The sequence below is a fragment of the Homo sapiens genome, chromosome 10, assembly GCF_000001405.40.
Source record: "Homo sapiens chromosome 10, GRCh38.p14 Primary Assembly".
NCBI lineage: Eukaryota > Metazoa > Chordata > Mammalia > Primates > Hominidae > Homo > Homo sapiens.
In genome coordinates this window covers 69,808,813-69,835,346 of record NC_000010.11, presented here as the reverse complement: position 1 = coordinate 69,835,346, position 26,534 = coordinate 69,808,813, and the positions used below count along the sequence as shown (strand labels likewise).

At 51.1% G+C, this 26,534-nt stretch overlaps 1 protein-coding gene and 1 long non-coding RNA gene across 44 annotated transcripts in view; one reads left to right on the top strand and one right to left on the bottom strand.

The window, feature by feature from the left end:
- COL13A1 (collagen type XIII alpha 1 chain) overlaps positions 1-26,534 on the bottom strand; it is a 157,239-nt gene that overhangs the window by 123,798 nt on the left and 6,907 nt on the right. For all 43 annotated transcript variants that reach the window (XM_047424600.1, NM_001368882.1, XM_011539294.4 and 40 more), the window contains exon 2: positions 12,909-12,978. In XM_047424600.1, the coding sequence (XP_047280556.1) occupies positions 12,909-12,978 (70 nt within the window). The remainder of the gene's footprint in view (positions 1-12,908; positions 12,979-26,534) is intronic.
- On the top strand, positions 14,420-26,472 carry LOC105378347 (uncharacterized). Its single transcript, XR_946039.3, has 3 exons — positions 14,420-14,546; positions 25,008-25,096; positions 26,395-26,472. It is a non-coding gene; the product is annotated as an uncharacterized LOC105378347 (long non-coding RNA).

The window sequence follows — 26,534 nt, the reverse complement described above, 5'->3', positions numbered from 1 at the left end:
CCCACCTTCTAGTCTCTTATAACTGCCCAAGCAGAGGTCGCGGGCTCTTCCCACTTGCTGCTCCTTTCCTCCAAAGGAGCATCTGGCATTCCTTTAGCGTCACTGTGGCAGAACCTTCTCCTTCAGGGCAGAGCAGGTGGTGGCAAGATCAAGGGACCCTCCACTGGGTCTAGGGCAGGGAGCTCATCTGCCCCCAGCAGCCTGGGACAAGCTGCACAGCACCCATGTGTGCTGCGGGCAGGATTGTGAGTCCTGGGTGAAGGGGCACAGGGCCCTGGGCTCTGGGCATGTCCTGGGGCAGAAAGTCTCCCACCTCAGTGCTTCTAGCCAGCTCTCCAGCAAGATGCACTCCTGTTCTCTCTCTTCTGTGAGTAGTGTTGCTGGCAGGTGGCTACAGGTAAGGCCACTTCCCTGAGCATTGTCCCCAGACGATGGCTACAGGTAAGGTCTTTCTTCTCTAAGTCCACAAGCTCAGAATGGGCTTCTAGCCCCTCTCCCTCTGGACGAACTGTTCCAGGGCCCTCAGCATTTCCATGAGGCATCCTGCATCCCCCACCTCCCAACCTCCAGCTTGTCCCAAACAGAACTTTGACCCTTCCTCTCCAACCTACCCCCCTTCTGCTCTGCCTTGTCCGGAGGGCAAAGGCGCTGGCATTGAAAGTCCTGGGTTCAAGTCCTGCCTCTGTCCCTTATCCGTGGACCTCAGGCAAACCCTGAACATCTCTGAGCCTCAGTTTCTTCATTTTTGAAATGTGGATAGCCATAGCCTTACATCATAGGGTGCTTGATCAGAATGTAAGTGATATTGTATTTAAAGCACAAGGCCCAAGGTCATCTGTTGAATATATGCCATGGTTATTATTAGTTACCTGGGCTCAGAGGCTCATAATTGCCTCAACCCCTCCTTGGCCCACACCTAGTAGGTAGCTAGAACTTGCTAATGTTACCTCTGCAACCTCCCTCTCGTTACTCCCCTCACCTGCTTCCTCTGCTTCTCTGTGTCTTCTCTTAGAGCGGGGGTCCCCAAGCACTGGGCCATAGATCTGGACTGGACTGTGACCTGTTAAGAACCAGGCCTCACAGCAGGAGGTCAGCGGTGGCAATAGATTCTCACAGGACCCCAAACCCTATTGCAGACTGCGCATGCGAGGGATCTAGGTTGCAGGTTCCTTGTGAGAATTGAACTAATGTCTGCTGATCTGAGGTGGAACAATTTCATCCTGAAGTCATCCCCCCATCCCCATACATGGAAAAACTGGCCACTGGTCCCAAAAAGACTGGGGACTGCTGCCTTAGAGAGATCATTGCTGCCCATTCCCAGCTTCTCTCCTGCCCCTAATTCACCCTCTACACTGAGCTATACACAGCTGGATACATCACATCCCTCTGAGAAACCTTCCGTGGTTTCCTGCTACCCACCAAATAGAAGCTGGCTTTCAGGGTGGTGTCCAACTCCCTCCACGGTCTGCCTCCCCAACCCCCAACTTTTCTTTCCAGCCGTACCTCCTACTCCATCCCTCCGCAGGAGCTTACTACAACCGCTCCAGATCATTCCTCATTTCCCAGAGTGGGGTGTGGGGTGTGGGGGTGTGTGTGGAAAAAACACAGTTGTTCAGGTCTCTATTCTTTATTATGTTGTTTCATTGTTTTAAAATGTCCTCATGCACATTCTCATTTACTGAAATCTTACTTGCCATTCAGGGATTCCTTCAAATGCCACTTCTTCCATGCAGCCATTTCTGATTCCTCCCTTCAGGAGTAGTCACTCCTTTTCTTGCATTTCCCAAACTAGATGCCTATGCTTCTGTTTAGCACTTGCCCAGCCCTGAACCAAGGAACTTTGCCTGATCACCTTGCATCCCACGGCACTGAACACAGGGCCTGGAGCAGCCCTCTACCCGCAGGTGGACCCAGGCTGCTTGTTGATGTAGTTCATGTTCATCCTGGAGCCCTAAAGAGCACGTAGGCAGTCCAGAAGTCTGGCTGCTGATTCCTGGCCTGGGCTGAGGTGAGGAGTGGAGAGGTGGGGGTGCTCAATCTAGTTACTGTAACTTCCAGTTATTGTAACTGCCCAGAAGGGCAGTCCTTCTTCACTTAACTCCTCTGGCTGCAGTTTCCACCCTCACAGGGCAGGTGCTAAGGGAAAGGCTTCTGATGGGTGAGGGTGTGATACAAACACATGGAATCATTGTGGGAGTGAATGACGCCCCTGGGAGCTGGAACAGGATGGTGTCTTTCTTCCTCAGGACTCTTCCACTGGTCTCTCTGAGACAGGCAGCCTGGCAGACAGGGAGAGGTGACCAGGCAGTGCGTGCTGCGGTCTACCTTCGAGGCACTTGCAGTTGCCCCTCGTTCTCCTACTGACTGTCCCTGGAGAGTTCCTTGGACAATGGATTTCCTGCAAAATCCAGAATCACTTCCAACCCAACTACAGCTGCTACAAATGTAGCCCATTCCCTCTCAGGATGTGGAGAGAGGATGCCCGACTCTGTCTGGAGAAGGGGCACAAACACAGCCTTTAAGGCAAGTCCTGCTCTCCAGAAGCTCCTGCTCCGCATGGTGGCTGGATGGAGTGGGGCGAAGGAGGGCGAGTCTTTCTTCATAAACCGGGGGTTCCAAGGCCCTCCAACACTAAGTATCACCAGCAAGTTCCAGTGTCTCCTCCAAGGAATCAATGGTCACCTGCACTTGTAATTCACCCTTCCCCTGCCCTGTCCACAGCCCTTTATTTATATCCCACAGCACTCAACAAGGTCTACCTTCTACAAAATAACTGGATTGTGCACCAGTCCAACTCCCCTCCCATAATATCCTCCATCTGGAGTCAGACGCACTACCATTGTGCCACGAGGTCCGCCAAATATTCTCCATTTGTATCTCCATGGTTGACCAAGAACTTTCATAATAACCCTGTAAGATCCTTATTTACATGTAAGAGATGAGCAAGTGAAAATTCAGAGAGGGTAGGTGGCTTTTGCTGTGCTGGAGAGCTAGACAGAGAGCTGGGATTCCAACTAAGGCCCCTAAACCTGTGACAAATCCCACATCACATCTTTAAGGGTGGGTATACCTTTCACCCATCTCTTGCAGTGCCTTAGCACAGTGTCTCATAAATAGAACATCCAGCATTTTTCATAGCATTGGAAGGGCCTAGCCTTCCACAGGGCAGATCAGGGAAGTAGGAGTAGGCCAACGCTTTGAGCAGCCATACCACATTACCTCCTTGCATTCAGTGGCAAGCGTGCCATTGCCTTCGGGACCTCACATGGCTGAATGCAACTGGGCAAAGACTATGACCTCTCCTCACAGCCCCATGTCACCTGAAGCCCTTTTCCACTCATGTCGTCATCACCATCATCGTGGCAACTAACAATCATTTCCCGCCAAGTGTGTGTCGGGCCCCACATTGAGCCCATCAGTCCAACAAGGTAGGTGCTGTCATTCCCATTTTATGTGAGGTCAAGAGAGTAACCCATCCACAGTACCATGACTAACAAGGAGTAGAACTGGGACTACTGGGATTTACTGGGAAGTCAGAGCCCACACCTGTAACTGCTGGGTTAGCCTGCCTCTCCCAGGGCAGTGGGTATTGCAAGTCCTGAAGCCAGTCCATTGCTCCTTCCTGCAGACAGCACAGCTCGTGCCCAGGACAATCTTCATGTCCAGTGAGTGAGTCAGAGGCATAAAAGCAAATCCTTCACCACCCCTGAAAAATTTCATACATAACTTATCTCCCTATCACCTCGAGTCTATCAGGCAAGCACCAACATCTTCATTTTCCTAGGGTGAGGACTGATGCTCAGAAGCTTGAGAAGCTTGCAGGGCTGTAAGCGTGGCTGCTGCTCTCTCACCAGGGGACCAAATAGCCACCCCATGGTGAGTTAGTTTTCTAGCTCTAGGAACTGAGAAAAAGGGCCCCCAGCTGTGTCTGGGAGATTCAACGGAGACATCTCAGAGGAAGTGACACTGAGCACAGGCAGAGGAAGAGCAAGGGCGCTTCAGAGCACCACAGAGGGGGTCAGGTGTCAGAGTCCAGCTGAGCAGGGCTTGACCCCCTGGGTCTGGGTCCTGGCAGGGTTAGAACCATTGCTGCCAGCCCACAGGTGGCTGAGGGTGCACACACACGGGATTTAGGCAGCAAGCAATGATACATCCTTGCTGGTAAAGACCGCCAATTAGGTTTAGAGGCAGACATGAAGGATTCCTTCAACATCCTCTAATTCAACAACATCCGTTCATTAACTTTATGATTTAAATATGTTTTATCTTGAAATATTTCAGACATTCAGAGAGGCTTAAAAGCAATATAATGTATTATTTGGCAATAAAAAGGAATGAAGTACTGATACATGCTACAACATGGATAAACCTTGAAAACATTATGCTAAATCCATAAAGATGGAGAGTAGATTAACGCTTGCCTGGGGCTGGGGGTCGGAGGGCGGGCGAAAATGGAGGATGGCTGCCAAAAGGAATGGGGTTTCTTTTTTGGGACGATAAAATGTCCTAGAACTGATTGTGGTGATGGTTTCACAACTCTGTGAATGTAAGAAAGCCCATCAAATTGTACACTTTAAATCGACCAATTGTATATGGGAATTACATCGCAATAAAGTTATTACAAAAAATATGTACTGAACCTGGCGTACCCACCACCCAGCCTAATAGCTACCCATGTAGCTGAACCTCCCTAAGCACCCCAGTCTCTACCCAGTCCCTCCTCCCTGCTGAATTTGATGTTTACCATTTCCATCATTTCTTTACGTGTTTACTATCTATGCATATAGTTGTTGAAGATTGTATTGTGTTGTCTTTATGTTTTTAACTTTAGATAAATGACTTATATTGTAAATATTCTCTTGTCGTTTGCTTTTTTCCCTCCAGAGGAGGAGATCCAGCCCTGGAATTGCTGAGTCTGAAGGTCTCGTTTATCCTGTTTACTGTGTGTGCATTTTCATTGATGAAAGTACTGCAATTTAATACTGCACAACATATCTCTGCACACTCCTGCTGACAAATATTTAGGCTTTTCTTTTCTTTTCCTTTTTTCTTACTACAGTAGTGTTGCAGTGAGCATCTCTTCTTCTTTTACGCACAGACGAGCATTTCTCTCAGAAGTGCCTAGGAAGGGAGCTGCTTTATTGGACACGATTCTTTACTTTACCAGATACTGCCAAATGATTTTTCAGTCATTCACCTTTTTATATCAGCGAGGAAACCAAAGCCCAGAGAGAGGAGAGTAATCTGCTCAGAGTCCTTCAAGGTCTGGGACTGATTCCCAGTCCAGGGCTCTTCTGGCCTTTCCGGAACCCTCCATTTCCTTATTTTTATTTCCCTACAAATCTCAGCCGACCACCCCAGTGTTATCAGAGCGGATCTAGGAGAAACACATTATCAGCAGCGTCCAGGAGGGCTGGGGATCTGGAAGTGCTTTTGGGAGGAAATGGGGAAGAAATGAACTTTGGAGAATTCCCCAGGAATTTCTGAAACGCAGAGCCAGAGGGCCTTGAGAGAAAAGGCTCTTCCAGGGGCAGATGGTGGAGCATTTTAGCAGCCGCGCAGCACCTGGTCTCCCAGCAGCTGTGGTCATTTTGGCCTCACCCACGCCAGTTACCTGACCCTCCACCCCATGAGGGGCATAGAGAGCTATGGCTGTGGGGGGTGGGGGTGCTCCTTAAACCCAGGGCCCTCTCCAAGGTGATGGTCAACCTTCCTTGTGGAGCAGGCCAGTTGCCTGAAATGGGGCTGCAACAGCCAAGGAAGGGCCTTCGTTTGGAGCCAAGAGTCCAAGCTTTATGGACTGGCTGATTTCTAAAGCATAACGTTCTGTCTGGCTTGGCCAGGGCTCCCGTCAGCCATAGTCTGTTACTCCAAATGTGGTCAGACAACCAGCAGCACCAGTGCTGCCAGGGGGCCTGCTGGGAATGCAGAAGGGATCATGGCGAGGGGGGTCAGAGCAGGTAACAAGCTGTGTTAGGGATTTAGGGCTTTATCCTAAGGGTGATGGAAAGTACTGAAGTGCTTTGGTTATCTGGAGTTATACATCAATGTTAAAAATACCATTCTGGCTTCTGTGTAAAGAAGGGTTTGGAGGAGGTCAGGTGGCAGCACCCTGAACAAGGGTGATGACGGTGGAGGTGGAGGAAATTGACAGAGTGGGATGAATGAGACTTGGTGATTGACGGGGTGTGAGGGAAATGGTGGTGTTCAGCCTGAAGCCCAGGTCATGGCTTAGATGCTGGGAGAGGTCGAGAATGTTGGAAAGGGCCAGGTGGGGGGAAGGTGCTGGCTTTCATTGTGTGCCGTTTGAGGATCCAGGCGGAGATGGCAAGGAAGCTGCCCAGTGTGGTTTGTAGGTGGGAAGGCTCTCCCTGGCTGGAAACCCACAAAAGCTACTCTTGCTGTGTAAGAGACTCATACTACATGCTGCTCTCAAGCACCTACACCATCTAAAGCAAATGGTTAATGCTAGCAGTCAGGGAGAAACCTCTGCAGGTGTATACATCTTGGTCTGTTTGCACTTCTCATTTTAGGACAAATTACTTGTCCCAGTGGGTGGTTTTGCCTGGATTGTACATCGAGCATACACCAGGCATTACGTTAACATACTCATCAAACAGCAGAACTCATGGCCGAGGCCAAGTGGGGAGGAGAGGATGGAAGGAGCTGCAGGGATGATGTAGCTGACATGGAGGGGTGAAGAGTTCACTAGGTAGAAACTGAGAACAAAGATACCAGAATAGCATGAGTTGTGTGCAAGTGGGACACTGTAAGTTCTGGCAGGGGAGCAGCCCAGTTTTACTGAAAGAAAAGCAGGACAGCGGAAGACTGGTCAGAGATCAGGCTAGAGAGACAAAGTGGGCTTATCTTTGGGATGGGGGGTATGAGCACTGAGGAGCCATGGATGGTTTTTGAGCAGAGGAGTGGAGTTGACAGAACCTGGCTGATGGAGTGCAGTGGGTGAAGGCGAAGGGGGCACTGATGTTGCTATTGTGGGTTTGCACCTGGGTGTCTGGGAGGCCAGATGGGACATGCGGTGGGGCTGCAAAGTCAGGAGGAAGAGATGGGGGTGGGGAGGACTGAGGCTAACATCGCAGGGGAAAGCACACCACTCTGGCTGCAGCAGAACAAGGGGGAGTCTGAATATTGACGAGAACAGCAATCGAACAGGAGGATCTCTTAGTAGGCTGGCCCCAGGGGATCTGCTTTAAGAAATAGCAAGAATGACCCCGAAGTAGCCCATCAATTATTTGCATGTAAAGCAGGGTTTTGGAGCTACCTGAAACAGTATACCTTTAGTTTAAATATTCTCCCTAAAATAACCATCAACTCTTGAATCTTTTCTTCATTGATAGAAACAAAGGACGCTTTGGTCTGCAGATTCCTAAGATCTGAAATAAATCAAGTCTGAAATAAGAAGGACCACAAAGAAGCGGGGCTCGGGGTCTGCGCTGCTGCAGCACAGGGGAGGTAAGAGGAGCCTGGTTTGTGACCAAAGCTCTGGCTACAGGTCCTGCCCATGTAAATGTCATGAGGCTGTTGGGGGCAAAGTCTGGTGCCAGGGAAAATAAGGCAAGGCTAGCTAGAGAGTAGGGTTTAGGATGTGTGGGCATCAGCTCTCATCAGCTGTGGAAAAACAACCAAGGCTGGAGAGGCCATTACAACCCAAAGGTAAATAGCAGCTCATAAGAAAATAAAGCCCTATTCGTAGGATCGCAGACTCTTGTTGCTGGAAGGGGCTGCTCTCCCCTCCAGGCCAGCCTCCACATCACTGCTAGTTATTGTTCTAGAATACAAATTGTATCAGGTGACATCCCTGCTCCCCAAACCTTCTCTGATGCCACATCATCTCCTGTGAGGACAGCACAGCCAGGGCAGAGGCACTGCTCCCCCACCACTCCTGTATCCAGAGCAGACATCAATAAGCAATTACCACATTTTCTGCTGAACCTGGATACAGCCTCAGAAGCTGACTCAGCACAGCCCCCCAATCAATCAGGCAGCCATTACCAATCAATCACCCTCTGGATGAAATCATTTGCCTCCTACTGGACAGAGGGAGCCGGGCAGCCTCAGCCTGACTCTTTGTAGTCTTGACATCTCCTCCCACCCTCATTTCTCATTACTGCTCTGAGCTCCAGATTTCTTCAACTGCATGTCATCCCGAAACTTACTGCCTTTTTCTTGCTCCTCCGAGTTTTTGTCCATGACAGTCCCTCAGCCAGCCTGGAATGTCCTCTGTGCAGTATGCTAGTTGTTCTTTGATATCTGTTTTCCCACCTACCATCGTAATAAAGTTCTATCTGGGCATATCGCCACCCATGAAAAATACTGCCTGGCCTCCCTTGAATCTGGGGGTAACCACGTGACTAAGTTCTGGCCAATGGGTTGTGAGCAGAAGTGATCTGTGTCTCTTTTTTCAAGTTTTGCTCTTGAGGGTTTGAGCACATACTCCACTTGTCCCATTCCCCTTTTGTGTTGGTCATGGGGTGGCAAGAACCGAAGCATCTGCCAGAGAAGGATGCCACAAGATGAAGATGGCAGAGCCAGCTCCCAGCCCTGGCCTGCTAGGGAAGGGAGACCTCCACCTCCACCTTGTCTAAGTCCTTGTATTTGGGGGGTCTCCTGTTATGGTGTCTATGTGGACACCATATGGAGTCTATGATGCCCTAACAATATGCCTTCCTACTTGCTTATTTGTTCCTTTTGAACAACCTCCAAGGCCTCTCCTTGGTGAAGTTTTCCCAGAGCCCCAGCTCCTTTGGCTCCTGGGCACTTCATGCACCCCTCACCAGCACACTGACCCGGAAGGCAGCTGTGGCTTCTCCCATTAGGCTGGCTGAAGGCGACTTCTCCGCTTTCATCCGTCCTCTTTGCAGTGCTGGTCATGGCGCTAGTGCACAAGCCTGACCACATCACCCCCATGCCACCACTGCTGCAGTCCAAAGCCCTTTGGCCTGGCAGTCAGGGCATGACTCTGGCCTACCCTTTCCCTTGGAGATGAGGCTCCGACAGCGAAGTGATTTCCTTCAGCAGCTGAGCTAGCCATTCTTCCCTCTGGGTGAAAAACGTGTCATCCTTCACACTGCCTGCCCCACCCTGGACTTGACACAGGCCAGCCCCACCCAGCCCCAGCGTGGCGGGCCTGAAGTAGCTGTTTCCTCGCTGGCTAGACTATAATGTCCTGCTCCTCATTTGTTAATAAGAAAAGGGACAGATAATGGGAAAGTTTCCTTGGTCTTTGTATTTTTCTCAAGTGGCCTAGGAAGTCTCATGGTATGTATATCTGTTCCCAAGACCATTCTCCTATCCCACCAGGCCATATGCTGTGCAAATGGCCCACACCTATTCCTCTGAACTTCTGGCAGCCATGACCCTCCTAACTGAGGGTTGACCTTTGGCATCCTTCTCAGGCCTGCAAGCCCATCACTCCCTTGGCAAACAGCGCATGCAGCCCAGAAGCAGGATGCAGCCAGATCTCAGCCAGTAGATGGCTATTTTGGGACAGGGAGGATCCCAGGAGGATGCTGGGAAGGTCAGATAGAAAGGGAAAGAGGCAGGTTTTCTGCCCATGATTATGTGTCCCAGGCCTTCTGGGTGCCGCCCAGGGCCCCAAGGCTGCCACAAGGAAGAACACACCCACCGCAGGACTCCGGCTTGGCCTAGCTGGCCACAGAGGGCAGGCACCACTTTGAGGATCGAGGCTTCCATCTCAGCAACCGCAGTGGGCAGGAAGAGTGTGTTTGTTTTGTCCCAATAGCAGTAAATTCAGCATCAGGCAAGATTTGGGGTGGGGTGAGGGATAAGGTGTCTGAAACCAATCAGATGGCAGAGGGAGAACACGAGGAAGCAGCCAGTCATCAGCAATGACTACTGATACTCATTTATTGAACATTCACAGAGCATCTACTATGTATGGGGTACAGTATTAGGTGCTGCAAGACAAAAGTAAATCAAGCTTTGAATTTGTATGTGGCACTTGACAATTGTATGAGTCCTTCTGCAAGGATCAGGAGCCTTAAAGTTGTTTATAAACTCCGACCCTCAGGAGATAATCGGAAATGCATGATGTAAGGGCAAGAATGACAGTGATGTTCTCTTTGCGAATTTGAGGATGTTCAGACATTCCAGAGTGTTAGAACTGAATTCCCTTCTACCTACTTTTAGTATTTTGAGGAAGGTTACCAATGCACATAAAGTGCTCAGTCCTGTGCCTGGCACATAGTAGGTGCTCAAGTGGGACACAGTGGCAGTAACTGCTATTATTTATAATAGGTTGGGTTTGCTGTTGAGGAGGTTACTGTACCAAGGCATGAGAAGCCTCAGGTCAGTCAGAGAGAGGCAGGGCAGGGGACCCAGCAGGACCCAGCCCATCCTAGGAGATTTTGCTGTGATTCCATGATGTGAAATGCTTCCGTGTGGCCATTCCAGTCCTTCCCTGACTCAGTTACGAAAGGCCGGAACAGCATCTTAGTTCCCTCTGATTTTGCCTGAGTTTGGGGCCTTCTCTTTAAATTCTTCAGGCATTGCCCACTGGCTCTGATGTATGCTTTGGGCCAAACTGCCTTTTTAGAAATTCTCAACATGCAGGGGTATCCCTTCCAGGAGCCCCTGCCCACTCTTCCTCTATGCCTGGCCAACTCAGCCCTTGCTGCTGTCCCTTCCCCGCAGAGGACCAAGGTCAAGCCCTTTCTTCTCCCCATGGTGTTTCCTCCTCCCCTGACCCTCTGAGCTGCTTCATGGTCTTCTCCTCACTGCCCAGGACCAGTGGGTTCCACACAGACTCCCAGCAGGCAGGGAGAAGAGAAGCACTCTTCCAAGTCCTTCCCCCTCCTGCCACATTCCTCCCCAGCTCCCAGCCTCCCAGGACTACCTGAGCCTGACTTTCTGAGGCACAATATTGAAACCTCTTGAGAACCACCCACTCTGATGATGGACTTGAAGGCCATCAGACAACTGATGTGCTTTCCCCAATAAGGCAGGGAAGGGAGAAAGGCAAGTCTCTGCCTGGCCACAAATGTGCCCCCAACACTAGGACATGGCATTTGATAAGGATTTCTCTGCATCTTTGAAGTGCGAGAGGCAGTTGAGAAAATAATCATAATCATGCTTACTAGGAATCAGAGAAGATGCTAAGCAGTTCCCAGGATTATCTCGAGGAATCTCTACCTTGCTGGTGTCTATTGTCCCTGTTTTTCAGACAAGGCAACTGAGGCACAAGGAGGTTAAATAACTCTCTGAAGGTCATAAGACTGGTCCATGTTGGAGATGGAATTCAAACCTACATCCTCTGTGGCTTCAAATATCCTGCCCTTGACCAGCATTCTATACGCTGAGCAAAAATCGGTTGTCATTGCCCAAGAGTTATAAGGGCAACAGACATGATCCTTGGAAACATGGGCTGTCCCATGAGCCCTGATGCGAACGGTCTCTCTGCCCAGGCCCCATCACCCAACCCTTGCCTCCACCCCATCTCATTAATCTTGGCACTCCTCTCCTGAAAGCTTTCCCAGACCCCCGGGCCCTATCTTCTGGGCCCAGAGGGAGGGAGGGAGCTTCCCAGGGCTTCTGGACACCCTTTTAATTAACCCGGACGACCCTCTTCTCACCGGGTCCAGCTGAATCTTTTCACGGTCTCCTTGTCTCCCAGGGCAGCATCCTGGAACTGTGACTCCCACCCCAGCCCATTCACTCTCCAGCAAATGCGGTCCTTCGTTTCCCATATGCTTAACATCTGTCAGCCTCTCTTCCCTGGCTTGGGGACCTGGGTGAGTGTTACTTGGGTCCCTCGGCTTCTGAGGCCAGAGGAGGGCCAGCCAGAGAGCCCAGTGAGCACCCTGCTAGTGCCACCTGCCACCGTGGGTATCGAGGAGGCCACACGCTGAGCTGGCAGAGGCCAGTAGCGGACCAAAACTCTCTGCCATTACTTAAATGTGATACCTTGTCTCCTGCAACTCTTCTTTAGGCCTTCCTTCCCCACCTCTAAAGAGGTACAGTGCATTCTAGTTCCTCAGGGAAACAGTGAAACTTCCTCATCTGTCACTCTCATGGCTTAACAATAACAGGCACCTAGAAAAGTAACAGGCACCTAGAAAATTTCTCATAAGCTGTAACTTATCACTTGCATTCATGGTGGACAATGCACTTGAACCCGACACACTGCATGGTGCCCAGCAGGTCCTTAGTACGCAGCTGTTACACAGGTGAATAGACACAGTTGAGGAACAGGCCCAAGGATACAGAGGAAAGCACTAGAATAGACAGGTCAGGGCTCCACCCATACAGAGCTAGTAAGTGGCGAAAGCAGATTTTTGTTCTAGATTAGACCAGTTCACTGTATTACACAGTATCACCTTGCGACCTTTGGCTTGTGCCTTCATTCCTTGCATGTAAGCATGTGTGTGTTGCATGTAGCCTAGAGGCCATATAGTGAACACACATTGCCCTAATCCAGCTAGCTATAGAAAATAAGGTCTTACAATTATAGGGTCATTCATTCAGGTAACAAACATTTTTGTATACCTGGGAAGCTGGGGACACAATGATGAACACAGCAAGCAAGGTGCCTCCCCTTGGGGGGCTGATGGTCCCTTTGACGCTGCATAGCACTTCATAACTTTCAAAACAGTCATGCCCATCATCTTATCCGACTTCACCACAACCTGGTTCAAAGAGTATCAGGCCCATAAAATACTCTATGAACAAATGAATGGTGGGTGGACTGATGGATGCGGGGCAGGCAGGCCAATCTGTGAGCAGATGGAAGGCAACCACAGATATTGTCACTCCTGTCTTTCAAATGAAAAGTGACGGCCTGAGTGAGGTGTGGCTAGAGCATGGCCACCAGGAAGAGCCTCTGGTCTCAGTCTTAGGAACATCCGCGGTCACCTATTTGCAGGGCTGCTTACCTGGTGGGCAGTTACATCCTGGAGATGTCTTTGGGGCCTCCCGGCGCCTCCTTGAGTGGAGCTTCCATTTCTGTACAAGGAGACAGACAAGAGGAGTCACCAGGAGCTCGTAGACACCAAGCCCTGGAAAGCAGCTGTGGGCTGACGAGGAGGGCAGGAAGAGGGGGAAACCGGCAGAACTCTTCCTGGATCAAAGACAGGCAGTTAATGGCCTTCCACTGGCCACCGGGCATCTGGGTAATAACAAGCAGACAAGAAAGCCCATCCCGGTAATCACAGCGTCTGATGTCTTTGGAGCACTCTTAAAGAAATTAACCCCAAACACAGGATCCTATAAACCAGTTGCATCTTCCTGCACCTCATGCTCATGTGCACAATGACATGCTTTTCTCAGCTCTCTGCTAATTGTTTTCTGCCTTGGACTGGGCTCCTGATGGACCCCTGGGCAGGGACAGTGCCTTCTGTTCTTCTGGTGTCCCTTACAAAGCTAGCATTTGCAAGCTGGGCAGGGGTGCAGCAGTAGGGGGATGGCAAGGCTCTCTGCACCCCTCCACCAAATATCTTCCTCACTTCCCTTCAAATCACTGAGCCTACCTGGAAGGTCCCAAAGAGGTGGGAGCATCAGAGAGGTAGAACACCCCGACCCTCGAGGAGTTGTCATGTTCATGGTGGCAAGTGGAGAAGAGCAAGCGTAATGACCATGCATGCAGGATTCCCCTGTGTGTCAACTCTGCAGGCTTACACTGCACAGGGCAATGTGACAAGGGTCTCATAAGGACTCTTACTTGATTCTTGCAACAAAGTTGGCCAGACTAGCCATTAACAGGGATATTTCTAGAGCCAGGCTGACTGGACTAACACACAGTTCTCAGACTCTGGGCTAATAAGAGTCCTCACTTCATTGGATTACTGCGAAGTTAGAAAGATTAATGCATAGAAAGAATGGCACCTGATACCCAGGAAGTTCTCAATGAATGTTAGCTATTACCATGTTCATGTCACAGGTAAGGGACTTGAAGCACAGAGAGGAGACTGCACCTGGCCAAGGTCAAGGCTGAAGTAAGGTACAGAGCTGGGATTCAAACCCACACTGTGATGCTCATGCAGCCATAGGAAGCTGGTAGCCCCAGGGCCAAATAGGCCTTTCAGTGTATTTTATTTGGTTCCCACAGTGAGCTTTAAATCATTATTATTATTGAATTTGTTGCCAATATTTTGAAGTGGGTGGTTTCATGTGCAAATCTGCATTTGTAATTTCTCTTGAAAAACTAACTGAAAGACCTGGCCACATGAAGCCTGTGCTCTGGCTGGCCAGGACTGACTGCACCTGATGTACTGTAGTCCCTACCCTGACAAGGTTGACGAGTTAGGATGACAGCCAGAGCTATTTGCTTCCTCACTACTGTGAAATTTTGCCACTCAGTGTGGGCCACAAGAGAGGTGAAGAAAGTAATATGGGAGGTGTCATAAGGGTGGTATCGCCTCTGGTTTGGGGGTGGGGAGGGAAGGTCAGAAAGCTTCACAAGGATTCAGAGCAAGTAGAGTGATTTGCTGAGGGTCACACAGCCAGGATGTAGTGGATCTGAGGTGTGAACTCACGCCTCCTGGCACAAAGCCCGCTCCACCTGCTGGAGGAAGGTGAGTGCAAATGCCTGGGGAGGGAACACAGTGACAGATGGGATGGGGGGCTCTGAGGGCAGAAGGGGGCCGAGATCAAGGTAGACCAGAAGAGGGGAAACACCCCAAAGTGGGGACCCTCACTTAGAAAGGGGAGGCTGAGTAACAATTAGGAGGATGAATGTTGAGGCCAAGGTACAGGTGGGCACAGAGCGGCCGCTGGGCAAACAAATGAGCCCCCAGGCCAAAGTCTGGTGATAGCCCCTCTGGTGATAGCCAGCTCTGAGCCTGGCTCATGAATGCTGCTTTCCTGTAAGGGACTGTACGAACCTGCCTCCACATCCCTCCCCACCAATCACCTGGGGGCCTGGCACCCAGAAGGCACATGACACAGGTCGGCTAAATGACTGACAAGCCAAGACCAGAGGAGTTGGCAGCATTTTGGCTAAAGGTTGTAACCATCGGAGTTGTCACCCACTCAGCAGCAGCACTGAGCAAGCTGCCATCACAGGGTTGGGCTGGAGACAGAATTTGTGGCATGAGTGGGTGGTGCCCCTGCTCCATCCTCATGGGGCACACCCCTAGAGGGGCATAACTTCTTGTGGAAGAAAAAAATCAATAGAAAAACAAAAAATGTGTAACAGGCAGTGATAAATGCTGGGAGAAAAATAAAGTAAAGCAAGGGGACAGAGAATGATGGAAGGTGGTTTTTTTATACCAGGAGGTCAGGGAAGGTCCTCTTTTTGAGGGGACTTTGAGCAAAAACCCAGAGGAAGGTAAGAAAATGAGTCATGCGGTATTTGGAGGAAGTAAGAAAATGAATCCTTTGATGTCTGGAGGAAGTGTGTTCCAGTCAGAGGGAACAGCAGAGGCGAAGGCTCAGAGACAGGATTGTTCATGGAGCATCTGAGGAACAGGAAGGGGTGAAGTGTGGCTGGAGTGATCTGAGTGAGGACATGGGATAGGAATGTGGGGGGCAGGAAGGCAGGTCATTAAGGCAGGGGCAGAGACTTTGAATGTGTAACATGGATCCCTGCCACTGGTTCTGGGGCTTGTTGACAGCCATAAAGCACCACAGCTCATGGGTGCTGTGGTGGGCCATCCAGGCTCCCAGGATTAGACCAGTGGTTTAGCTGTTGGGAGTGTTGGCTGCTGATGGCTGAGCCTCTTTCTGGGAGCTGCTCTCAGCTCAAGGAAGCAGCCTTGATCAGGGTCACACTCTCCCCCAAAGGCAACCCATATTCAATTACTGATAGACAGGAGGAATGCAGACCTGGCCCCTCTGCCTCAAATTGGACTGACTCTAGGGCCACCCCAGCTACGGAGCTCCCACAGGACCAGCTGGGGCCTCTGTCATGACTGTATCACAGCTCAGCCCCTCCTCTGCCCAACTGCTTCCCTCACTCCCCCTCCTATGTTGATGCCAATAAGTCAAATAAGTAAGTCATCTACTCATAGACCTCCACTTTGGAGACTGTTCCCTTGGGAACCCAACCTAAGGTAGACCTCCATGTGACTTTCACATTTCCTGAGACTTCACCTGACCCTCATCACTGACCCGTGCAACAGGCAGGCTAGAAATCAGCCCCATTGTATAATCCAGGAAACTAAGTCCCAGAAAGGGAAAGGGAATTGCCTTGAACAAGTAAACCCCAGAGGGCTTAAATTCTGGGTCCTCTAACTTCAAGTTCAATGCTTTTATTCAATAGATCCTATGTTTATTTTCTACTAATTGTGAGACTGCAAAATAGAGAATGAGTCACAGTCCATCAGCAAACAGCTGAGCTTGGTGTGGGAGAAGCATACTCAGATGTGTGCAGGTGACTGTAGACTTCAGAGGGCCTGGGTGTTGAGTCGGGAGTGGGAGCTGTGAGGGTTAATTTTATCTGTTAACTTGCCTGGGCTAAGGATGCCCAGATAGCTGGGAAAACATTCTTTCTAGGTATGTCGATTAGCACTGGAATTAGTAGACTCAGGAAAGAACAGTGTCCTCACCATAGGGGGTGGGCATTATCTGATCTGTTGAGGGCCTGAGTAGAACAAGGTAGAGGAAGGGAGACTCTGCTCTCTCTGCTTGAGCTGGACCATCCATCTTCTCCTGCCCTTGAACATTGACTCCCCCTGCACCACAACTGGTTCTTGGCCCTTCAGGCTTGGACTGGAATTTACACCATTGGCTCTCCTGGCTCTCAGGCCTTCAGGTTTAAGTGGAGCTACACCACTGGCTTTCCTGGGCCTCTTTCTTGCAGATGGCAGATTAAGGGACTTCTCATCTCCATAATCACATGAGCCAATCTCTTTTGATAACTCGCTTTCTGTGCATCTATATACAGCCTATTGCTTCTGTTTCTCTGGAGAACCATGACTAATAACCAGGCCTTGTGTGCCCAGGTAAGGATTCTAGCATGGAGGAACCATTCAAAGGTTTTAAGCAAGGAGGTCATGTGGTCAAATTTGGGTGGTATAAAGGGCACTCCAGCAGCCCGTTGAGTATAGACCAGTGAGACCGCTTGGGCTGAGGTCCTCTCTGGAGGATGTCATGGTCATCACCCAGTGGAGAGATGTGGGAGGAAGAAGGAACTGGGCACTGGATGGATTTGGGGTGGTTGTGGGAGCCAGGCCCTGCCTTGGGCAGCCAAGATGCCACCCCTAGGACATAACAGCGGCAAGAGCACGTTGTGGGAAGATGGCGAGTTTGTGGAACCCAGCAGGGTAGGCATGGGCAGCTCTGGAGTTTGGGAGAGAAGGCAGGTGGGAAAGGTGGACCCGGAAATCGGGAGCCTTGATTGGAGGGGATGGAGGCATCTGAGCAGGCAAAGCTACCACAGGCACAGCTAGAAAACCAGGTCAGTTCAGGGTGTAAGTGTTTTCTTGGCCTGCCCAGAGTTTATTTTGAAAGAGTATTAAATCTCAACAGCACCATGACCCATCCACAGCCTAGGCTTCAACACTCTGCCCACAGATCTCCATTTCCCAAGGACCTAACACCCCGGCCCCAGGGACCCTCGAATCCCACAGGGCCTTCAACCTGCGGGTCCTACCAACTTTTTACTGTCCATCACTACCATGTGTCACTTCCCTCCGTGCCCGGCTCAAATTCTGTGGCCAGTGATTATCACCACCCCCTGTCTGCACCCTCCACTGCCTTGACACCCGCCCTGTTCACTAAGCCACGAGCCTGGCTAGATCCAACGTCTCCTCCTACCCCACCCCTGCACACAGGCAGCAGGGTAAAGCGGGAGAAACACACAACCTCGCCGACTGATCTTACTTTAAATTCATGATCCAGATCTCAAACGGAAGCCCAGCAATCATTCTGTGGTTCCCTCAACCCTTCACCATTGCACTGTCCTGGGAGTTTTCACACTTCCTCTCCCCAAACCACCAACGTCCCCTCCCCCAACTTCATTGTCAACTGATGACCTTGAGAAGAAAAGCAAGCAGAAGAGGGCTTCCAGAGGCAGCCACCACTACACGTGCCGTCCATCTGCATCTGCGCCTGCCAGCACCCTTCTCTCCTCCTAAGCTCCCCATCTGTGCTTCCACGAGGGCCAACCCCTCCTGTCGCCAGCAAGTCCCCTGCCTTCCTGCCTCATCAATCCCCTCCTCTAGATTGGATCATTTACATCAGGGGCCGGCAAACATAAATATTTGAGGCTGTGTGAGACACATGATCTCTGCCACACCTACTCCACTCTTCCATCGCAGGCCAAAGCAGCCATAGTTTGGAAACAAATCAGTGTGGCTGTGCTCCCATAAAAAATATATATTTACAAAAATGGGCTGCAAGCTGGATTTAGCTGTAGTTAGCCCACCCTCACGGAATCATTATGCAAATATGCTGTTGTTATTCCCAGCATAAAAACGGAAAAGAGAATAATCCTCTTTTGACTCTGGTTAGCTCTTTCCCTAGAAAAACTCCTGGATGACAATCTTCGCTGCCTCCTACGTCTCTCCTGGACCACTCCTACCTGGCTCTTCCCCTACTGTCCCCTAAGAACTGTCCTGCAGGTTGCCAGTGACCTCCGGGTTGCCAAATCTGGTGGGCAGTCCTCATGCTTCCTCTTAGCCAGGCTGCAGCCTTTGCTCACCCCCCTTCTTCCTCGGGGCACTTCCTGCCCTTGGCTCCCAGGACACGCACTCTCCCCATTTCCCTTCCACCACCCTGGCTGTGCCCTCTCAGTCTTGTGCTGATTCCTTCTTATCTACTTGATGTCTAAATGTTGGAAGTCACAGGGTCCACATCCAGGGTCTCACTTCTTTCTCTAGACACTGGCTCCCTAGGGTACCTCATCCAGTCTGATGGCTTCAAAGCCATCTATGCAGAATGACGCCCTCCAACCTATACCTTTCTTCAAAACTTCAGATGCATCTATCTGGCTGCTGGCTTGATATGGCCCTTCATAGGCATCTCAGAATTAGCCTGGCAAAACTGAGCTTCTGATAGACTCTCCCAACTCCTCCTTGGACCTGCCCCTACCATCAGCTTCCCCATCCCACCAGTTGCTCAAAACCTCACAATTATCATTGATGTCTATTTCTCTCACCCTACACCCATTCCATTAGCAATTCCTGTTCTTTACCTGCCAGACGCATCCGAGATCTGACCCCTTCTCACCACCTCCATGACTACCACCTGGCCTAATTACTGTGATAACCTTCTAACGAATGCCCGACTTCTGCCCGTGCCCCTGCAGACCTTTCTCAACACGGCAGCCAGGGTAATCACACAGGCCTCTGAAGCTCTCATACATGCTGGGCTTTCTCTACCTCAGGGCCTTCACACTTACTGGGCTCTCTGCCTGGGTGTTCTCTTCCCAGCTACCTACCTGGCTTGCTGTTAGGCCTTCCTCACCTCCTGCACCCCTTCCTCCAAAATTCTTCCTCCCCCAGCACACCACTTTGTTTTATTTCCTCCTTAGGATTTTTTTTTTGCTTATTTTTCTTACTTATTGTCTCTTTGTAGCACTGGAATGTAAGTTCGACAAGGACCTGGATACTTTTTTCTGTTCTGTTCTATTCACTGCGCCTAAAACAGGGCTTGGCACATAGTAGGTGCTCAATAAATATTGGTTGTTCACACATCAGGAGATTTCACATCCAGTTCTGGTCTCTCTTGCACAATGGGAGACCTGTCAACACTGAGCATGTACAATCAGGTGGTGCTGTGTGGTGGTTGCCCCTTTCAGATGGATGTGTGCCATCTAGGCTACCAAAGTACTCTCTCTCCAAAGCCAGCTTCACCTACTTAGGCCACCAGCCTGGCCCCCTTGACATCTGACTTTGAGACCCATGGTGAGACACCCCCAAGATGAGGCCCTAGGGTGGACCCTCAGCTACCCTCGGCAGAGAAGCCTTCCTGTTTTGCCCCTGCTGGCAGCCGGGGCCTCCTGGAATGCCCTATGTGGCCAGAGCTGAAACATCACCCGCCTGATCGGTTGCAGCTATTAAAATGCCTGTATCAGTATCAAAGGGAAAATGCCAGGCAGCTACTCACTCCCCCCAGAGAATGTGGCTCCAGCCTGGTCTTGGGTTTAGGGAACACTCCCTCCCTGTGTCTCAGCCTCAGGGCTCTTAAAACGTCCTAGCTCAACCTGGGCCTCTGCAATACATGGGGTGGGTCCAAGCTGTGGCATAGACACAGCCCAGAGGGAGAAGCCAGGTGAGACCTGCAGCTGTGACCTTGAGCCTGGCACGTCCCTTCAGGGGGAATCTACAAAATAGGGATATGACCCACCACCCCCTGCCAGCTTCCTGAGTGCCAATGTGGAGACCGAATGAGATAACGCAGAGGCAAGTGCCTGGGAAACCACGGAGCATCTATCAATTTTGGGTTGAATTATTAAACAAGAGTTAATATTAATTATAACAGCTATGCACATTGAACACCATATATCAGCCACTGTGCTAAGCACTTTAGGTGGAAAATATCATTTAATAATTGATTTTTGACATTATTAGTGCATGCCTCCTATTCCCTTGGAGGCTGGAGTGGGACTTTCTTTTGGGTTGGCACAGATGGCCCCCAAACTCCAGTGAAGAATCTATTGTAGGCAGAGCTTGGCAGTGTTGAAATCATATCATATCAGCTTGACTACACTTGGGAGTGCCAGAGCCTTGGGGTCTAGTCCCAACTCTCCTACTAACTGTGTATTAAGCAAAATCTATAACCCCTCTGGACCTTGATATTCTCATCCATAAAATGGAGATAATCTAAGTGATCTGCTAGACTACGCAAGACAGCTGGCAGGATAAAATGAGATGAGGCAAAAAAATAAACAGAGGTATCCAGATGTGAGGAGGGTGAGCACCTGTTTTGCCAGCTTGTTTTGTTTGGTGGCCAGGTGAAGGCCACTTCTCTCTTGAGCCAGTGCCAGGCCTGCCTCCTCCCACCTGCTGTAATAAGGCTGGCCTGACCCCTGCTGCCCTGGCTCCATGGCATACACCTCTGCGACAAGTGGTCAAGTTTCCTGCACTTGCCATGTCCCTCCTCCTCCTCCTGGGAAACTCAGAGCCCCTCTTCTGGAAAGGGAGGGTGAGTGAGGAGGGTCTGACCTGCAGCCCTGCCTTTTGACCCTGAGAACTAGGAGTTGAAGGAAGAGGAGGTGCCCACTGGAATGACCACAGCAGACGAAGCTCCGGCCCCTGTGCCAGCACTCTGATCACAATGCCTGGCACAGGGCAGGGACTTGATCCCATCTGCTAGAGGCCTTTTGATCATCCTGCAGCATAACTGCTGCTGGGCTGGCTGCCCCGTTGCAGACTGAGCTGGCCCTCAGATGTCAGGGTCCCGGGTCAGATGTCTCAATCCACACTCCAACCGAATTACTTACTTTTAGGTCAGCCCTCTAGGACTCATCCTTGTGGTCCCAGGAGGAGGTGGGCTTTGGCAGAATTGGGATAAATGGGCATGGGGGAGGGAGGGCATTTCCGTGAGGAGGTACAGAGGCAGGACCTGGCTGCTCAGTGCTGGCCCCATGGGCTACATCCCAGGGACTGCAGGAGAGGGCTGGCTCCACCAAAGGGGTTAAAGGGACAGGCCCACTCGTAGCCACATGCCCCAGGGCACAGGCAGCTTGGCAGGGTGAAATCAAAGTGGAGGAAATCAAGACATCCAACCCACACCCACCAGAACTGGACTTGCATGGGCTGCTGCAGGGGCCTGTGTGCTGGGGACAGGGAGGGGGTGCCACGGGGGTGCCTTAGGAGCTGTCTTCTCCCTACCTCAACAGTTCTCTTCGTGCAGTGGACTTGGCACCTGATCACAGACTCCCAGGGCCATGAAACAGGGGCCTGCGGGTCCTCCAGATACCACATACTGCCTCTGTCTCCCTCTGCCTCCCTGTCTCACCAGAACCACACACAGATGTGGCCCCAGGCTCTATGGTTCAGGAAAAAAGTCAGGGACAGGAGGCACATACCCCTATGTGAGCTTTGCAGCATTCGTATGACGAAGTCCTTCCTTCTAGCTAACCCAAGGCCCTGCTACTGCCGCAAGGAGTCAAGGAACCGGGCCCCAGAACTGATGGTGTGCATGGGAGGCAGATTGGCAAGGGGCCCAGGACCTCAAGGATCTCAGGGGTCCAGGGGTCATCTCTAGGCCTGGTGCAGGATAAGGCAGGGGCCCCCCACCACAAAGAAGTCCTGGGGTGAATGTTGGGGACCTCTTTCCTCCTTTCCTGCCTTTCACAAATGGGTATTGACTATCTACAATGTTCTAGGGGTTAATGTTGGGAACCTTGTTATGCAAAGCAGACTGAGGCTGCTCCCATGAAGTTGATACTCTAGGGAGGGAAACAGAAGAGCCTACAAACCACACATCAATGTGGGGCAGCCATTGTCATCAGAGCTGTGGCCAAAAGGGGCAAGGAGCTGAGAGCCAGCCGGGGCATGGACTAGTCTGGCTCATGGCAGAAAAGTGAGACATGAGCCAAGATCTGAAGCTGAGCAGTAACTCACCAGGTGAGGGGCCCAGGCACAGGGGAGAGGCTGAAAGCTAACCCAATAATGCACTTCTTAGGAGCCAGGCAAGGATCTTGCATGGAGTAGGTTGGTGCAAAAGTAATTGCAGTTTTTGCCATTACTTTCAATGGCAATTAAAAGTAATTACTTTTGCACCAGCTTAATGTTAATTCCTCCAGCACTCACTGCAACCCATTACATGAGCGAGGAAACTAAGACAGAGAGGGGCCAAGTAACCTGCAAGACAGCACACAGCCTGGAAAGACAGAGGCAGAATTTGAACCCGGGAAGCCTGGCTCAGAGCCCACACCTTGACTCTATGCCTGTGAGAGGTGAAACTTGGCTCTTTCAAGGAGATTGGATGATCTATTACTGGAGTACCAGTCACTACTCAAAGCACTTTATATCTTAACTTTTTTTTAATCCTAAAAACAACCCTCATAAAAGTACTCTTATTATCATTACCCTTATTTTACAGAGGTATAACCTAAGGCACAGAGAGCTTGAATAACTTGCCCAAGGTCACATAGGCAGTAACTGGCAGAGCTGGTCTTGAACCCAGCAATCGGGTTCCAGAGTCTGTGCTCCTAGCCTTGACAGCGTGCCACCATGTAGCTGGACTCCAGAAGCAAGGGCAGGTGAGCCATGAGGCTGGAGAGAGTGACAAGGGCTGCACCTGAAGGCCATATGGGTCACATTTAGCAATGCGGTCTCTAGCCTGAGAGCAATAGGGAGTTACTGAAGAGTTTAATCAGGAGACGGCGTGATTACACTTAGTTTTTTAAAAGGTCCCCTCTGGCTACTGTGTGGATAAGAGAGTCAGGACAGCATGGGTGAGAGCAGAAGAGTTAGGGGGGCAGCTCGGGCTGGGGAGGGCAGGCAGGGATGGAGAGGAGAGGACAGGTCTGCAGAGGCTGAGAAGGTGTGGGCAGGAGAGCTGGGGTGGGTGTGGCTGGAGGTCATTGTGCTCACATATGAAGGGATGCTGGTGAGGGGTGGATTTCCTGCTCAGTTTAGACACGTAGAGTTTGAGGTGCTTTCAAGACATGCTGGAGTTGTGGGTTGGTGGGTGTAGAGATTGGCTGGGCCTCTGACGACATTAAGAGCCAGAGATGTCCTACCAGGGAACAGTCAGCAATATAAGGTAGTGAGCTCCCCGTCACTGAGGTGTGTAAGCTTGAGGACCAAGGCTGCTGTAGGAAATTCCTAGAGCAGCACCTGACTTATGAAGGCCCTTCCTGATTCTATGGAGTCGGGTGAGGCTGGAGGTGTCCGGAGCACCCTCTGACCTCCCATGTCACAGAGCTTCCCCCAACTCCAGGAAACCTCAAGTGCCAGTTCAGGGGGAGGTGGATGAAGCTATTCCTGGAAGAGCCCTGGCAAATGCCCCTTTAACCCAGCCCCCTTTCTTCATCCCTGTCCCGAGAGGTCACCCTTTCTGACCTGCCCTACAGGCCACCTTATCAGAGCATGACCTGGTGCTAAAGAGGTGCCTTCGCAGAGCATCTGCAGCCTGACAGAGGGCAGCGGGTGCAAAGTCCCTCTATGGCAGAAGCTCAGGACCCACAACAGCCTTTAGGGGCAGCAAGGTTCTCCTGCTGCAACCCAAAGAGCGGATAAAAAACCGAAGCGCCTGAAGGGAGGGGGTGGTGGGCAGGAGGAAGGAGCGTGTGGGCAGAGGGAAATGCCTGGACGAATGCTCAAAGGAGAATGACCCAGACTTGAGGAGGCAGGCAAGGCTGGGGTGGGAGTGAGGATGGGAAAGGGCCAAGGAGGCAGAGGCCCAGCCTACGTGGGCCCCAGCCATGTGGGGTTTCAGGAAAACCTACAATAGCCGCCAGGCAGGGAGACAGGGGCCCAGTGTCCCCTCAAAGGCCATGCCCAGCCTCTCTGGCAGGCAGTTCTGCCCCTTTGTGCTTGGCTGGCCCTTGCTCTTTGAAGGACCAGGAGAGCACCCCCTGCCAGCAGGCCCACCCCTTCCGCCACAGACAGCATCTCTGCAAGGAGGCCCCACACCCAGGGCTGTGGCTGGGAGAGCGGGAGTGTCAGCAGGGGCTGCTGCTGGGGCCTGCCAGTGGCCCAGACAACACCCAGCGCAGCTGGTGACCCCATCCACCCTAGTCTCCCCAGACCCAGGCCTCAGTTTCCCTTGGAGAAGCCTGCTGATTTCCCTCTGACTGAGGGCTCAATAGACTGTTTCTGGGAGGGGCAGAACCCAACCCAAAGAGGTGGGAGAAGGACTTCTGAGGCTTCCTGGAGGGCAAACCTCAGTTGATTTTGTTTTTGGAAAACAACAGCAAAAAGCCTGCTGCTTGCCCTTCTTCAAACCTCCCAGTGCACACGGAGACTTTTGTTGACATCTCACCGTGAGCTTCATCACTGCCCCTCAGCCCCTTGAGCACTGCTTGGGACCCGGGTAAGGGGGTCTGGGTTTCACTGTACAGGGAGCTCCAGGCACTGGGCCACACAGACTCTCTGTCTCTCTCTCTCTCTCTCTCTCTCTCTCTCTCTCATTCTCAGGGCCTGCCAGGTCCAGCCGCAGAACACGATCACCCGAGGAGCTCGTTAGACACTTACAGCCAGGCCCTACCCACAGACATCTGCAGCAGGTATTGGGAACAATTGGCCTGGCGTGTTTTGAAAGCTCCCCAGGCGATTCTAATGCAACCAGCATCACCCGTACAAGGGCAAGCCTTTGAGGACATCTGGATCAGTGAGAAGGAGGGGAGAGTAACTTTAAAATGTTTAGTTACTTCAGATCTTTTACCCCTCTCTGGCTCTAAAAGGGAGCATTCAGGCAGCTGATACAAACAGACAGACAGACAGTATACAGTAAGGTAGAAGAACAGCAAAGGCAGAGTGATCAAATAGGATCTGGGATCAAGGCTCATACAAAAGCCTTTGCCACTGGCTGAACCCTAGATTTGCTGCTATGCTTCCTAGTGGCCAGTTCAGAGTCCGAGAGACAAGAACAAACCCATCCACCCTGGGAAGCCCAAGCATTCCAGAGGCCAAGACTGGACAAGGGCTTCCCTCAGAGTACTCATCACCAAGGCCTGATGTAATTAGCAACTCTCATAATGTCTTTCTTACAACAAAGATGGTGGCACGGCCCTGACGCCAAGGCAGTTCAGTAAACACTGCCTCTGGGAGCCAAACCAAACTGAACAGATCCCCAGCCCCTGGCTGGTTTGACTGGCCTCAGCAGAGTTAGAGAGGTATGGTACTTCATACAGACAAGTACATCCTAGTGGCTGAGGATGCCAGCTCTGGGCCACACTGCCTGATTTCAAGGCCTAGCTATGCTACTCACTTACTGTGTGACCATGGGAAATTTGCTTAACTTCTCTGTGCCTCTATTCTCTCTTCTGTAAGAAGGGAATAGTAACAATAGTAACCACTTCATAGGATTATTGTGAGGATTTAGTGAATCAATAGATGTAAAGGTCTTTGAATAGTCCCTGGTACACAGTGTAAGTGTAAGCTCAATACACAGCGTAAACTCAATAAATATCAGCTACTAATAAAAGTTGTAGACAAGGTGCATGAAGCCCCATATTACCTCCTCCAATGATGAGCGAGGTGGCAATGGTTACAGTTGCCATTAGCCAAATGATTTCATTTAATCCTACAACAACCCTGTAAGGAGGATGTCATCATCTCCATTTTTCAGATTAGGGTACTGAGGCTCAGGTCACACAGTTAGTGGCAGGGGTTCAAATGCTATGGTGTTGCCTGCTTCACCATTTTGCCACCCCCCGACTCTGTAAAGAAAAACCTTGGCAGCCAGCTGGGGCAGGTAAAAATGAAGCTCCTGACCTTGGGAGTAGAGGATGGGAGGGGGTGGGTGCCCCCAGCTTCTCTGCCCAGTGGGGAACACATCACTGAGCCTTTCCTGCTCTCCCAGCCAGGACAAGGCATGCAGCCTGGACACACAGAAGTCAATCATCTCATCCTCTGCTGGTTGCTGAGAAACACCCCCTGAGCAAATGCTGAGCCTATTGCTGGGTCCAGGGCCGGGGACGCTGCGAGGAGAGCTGACTAATA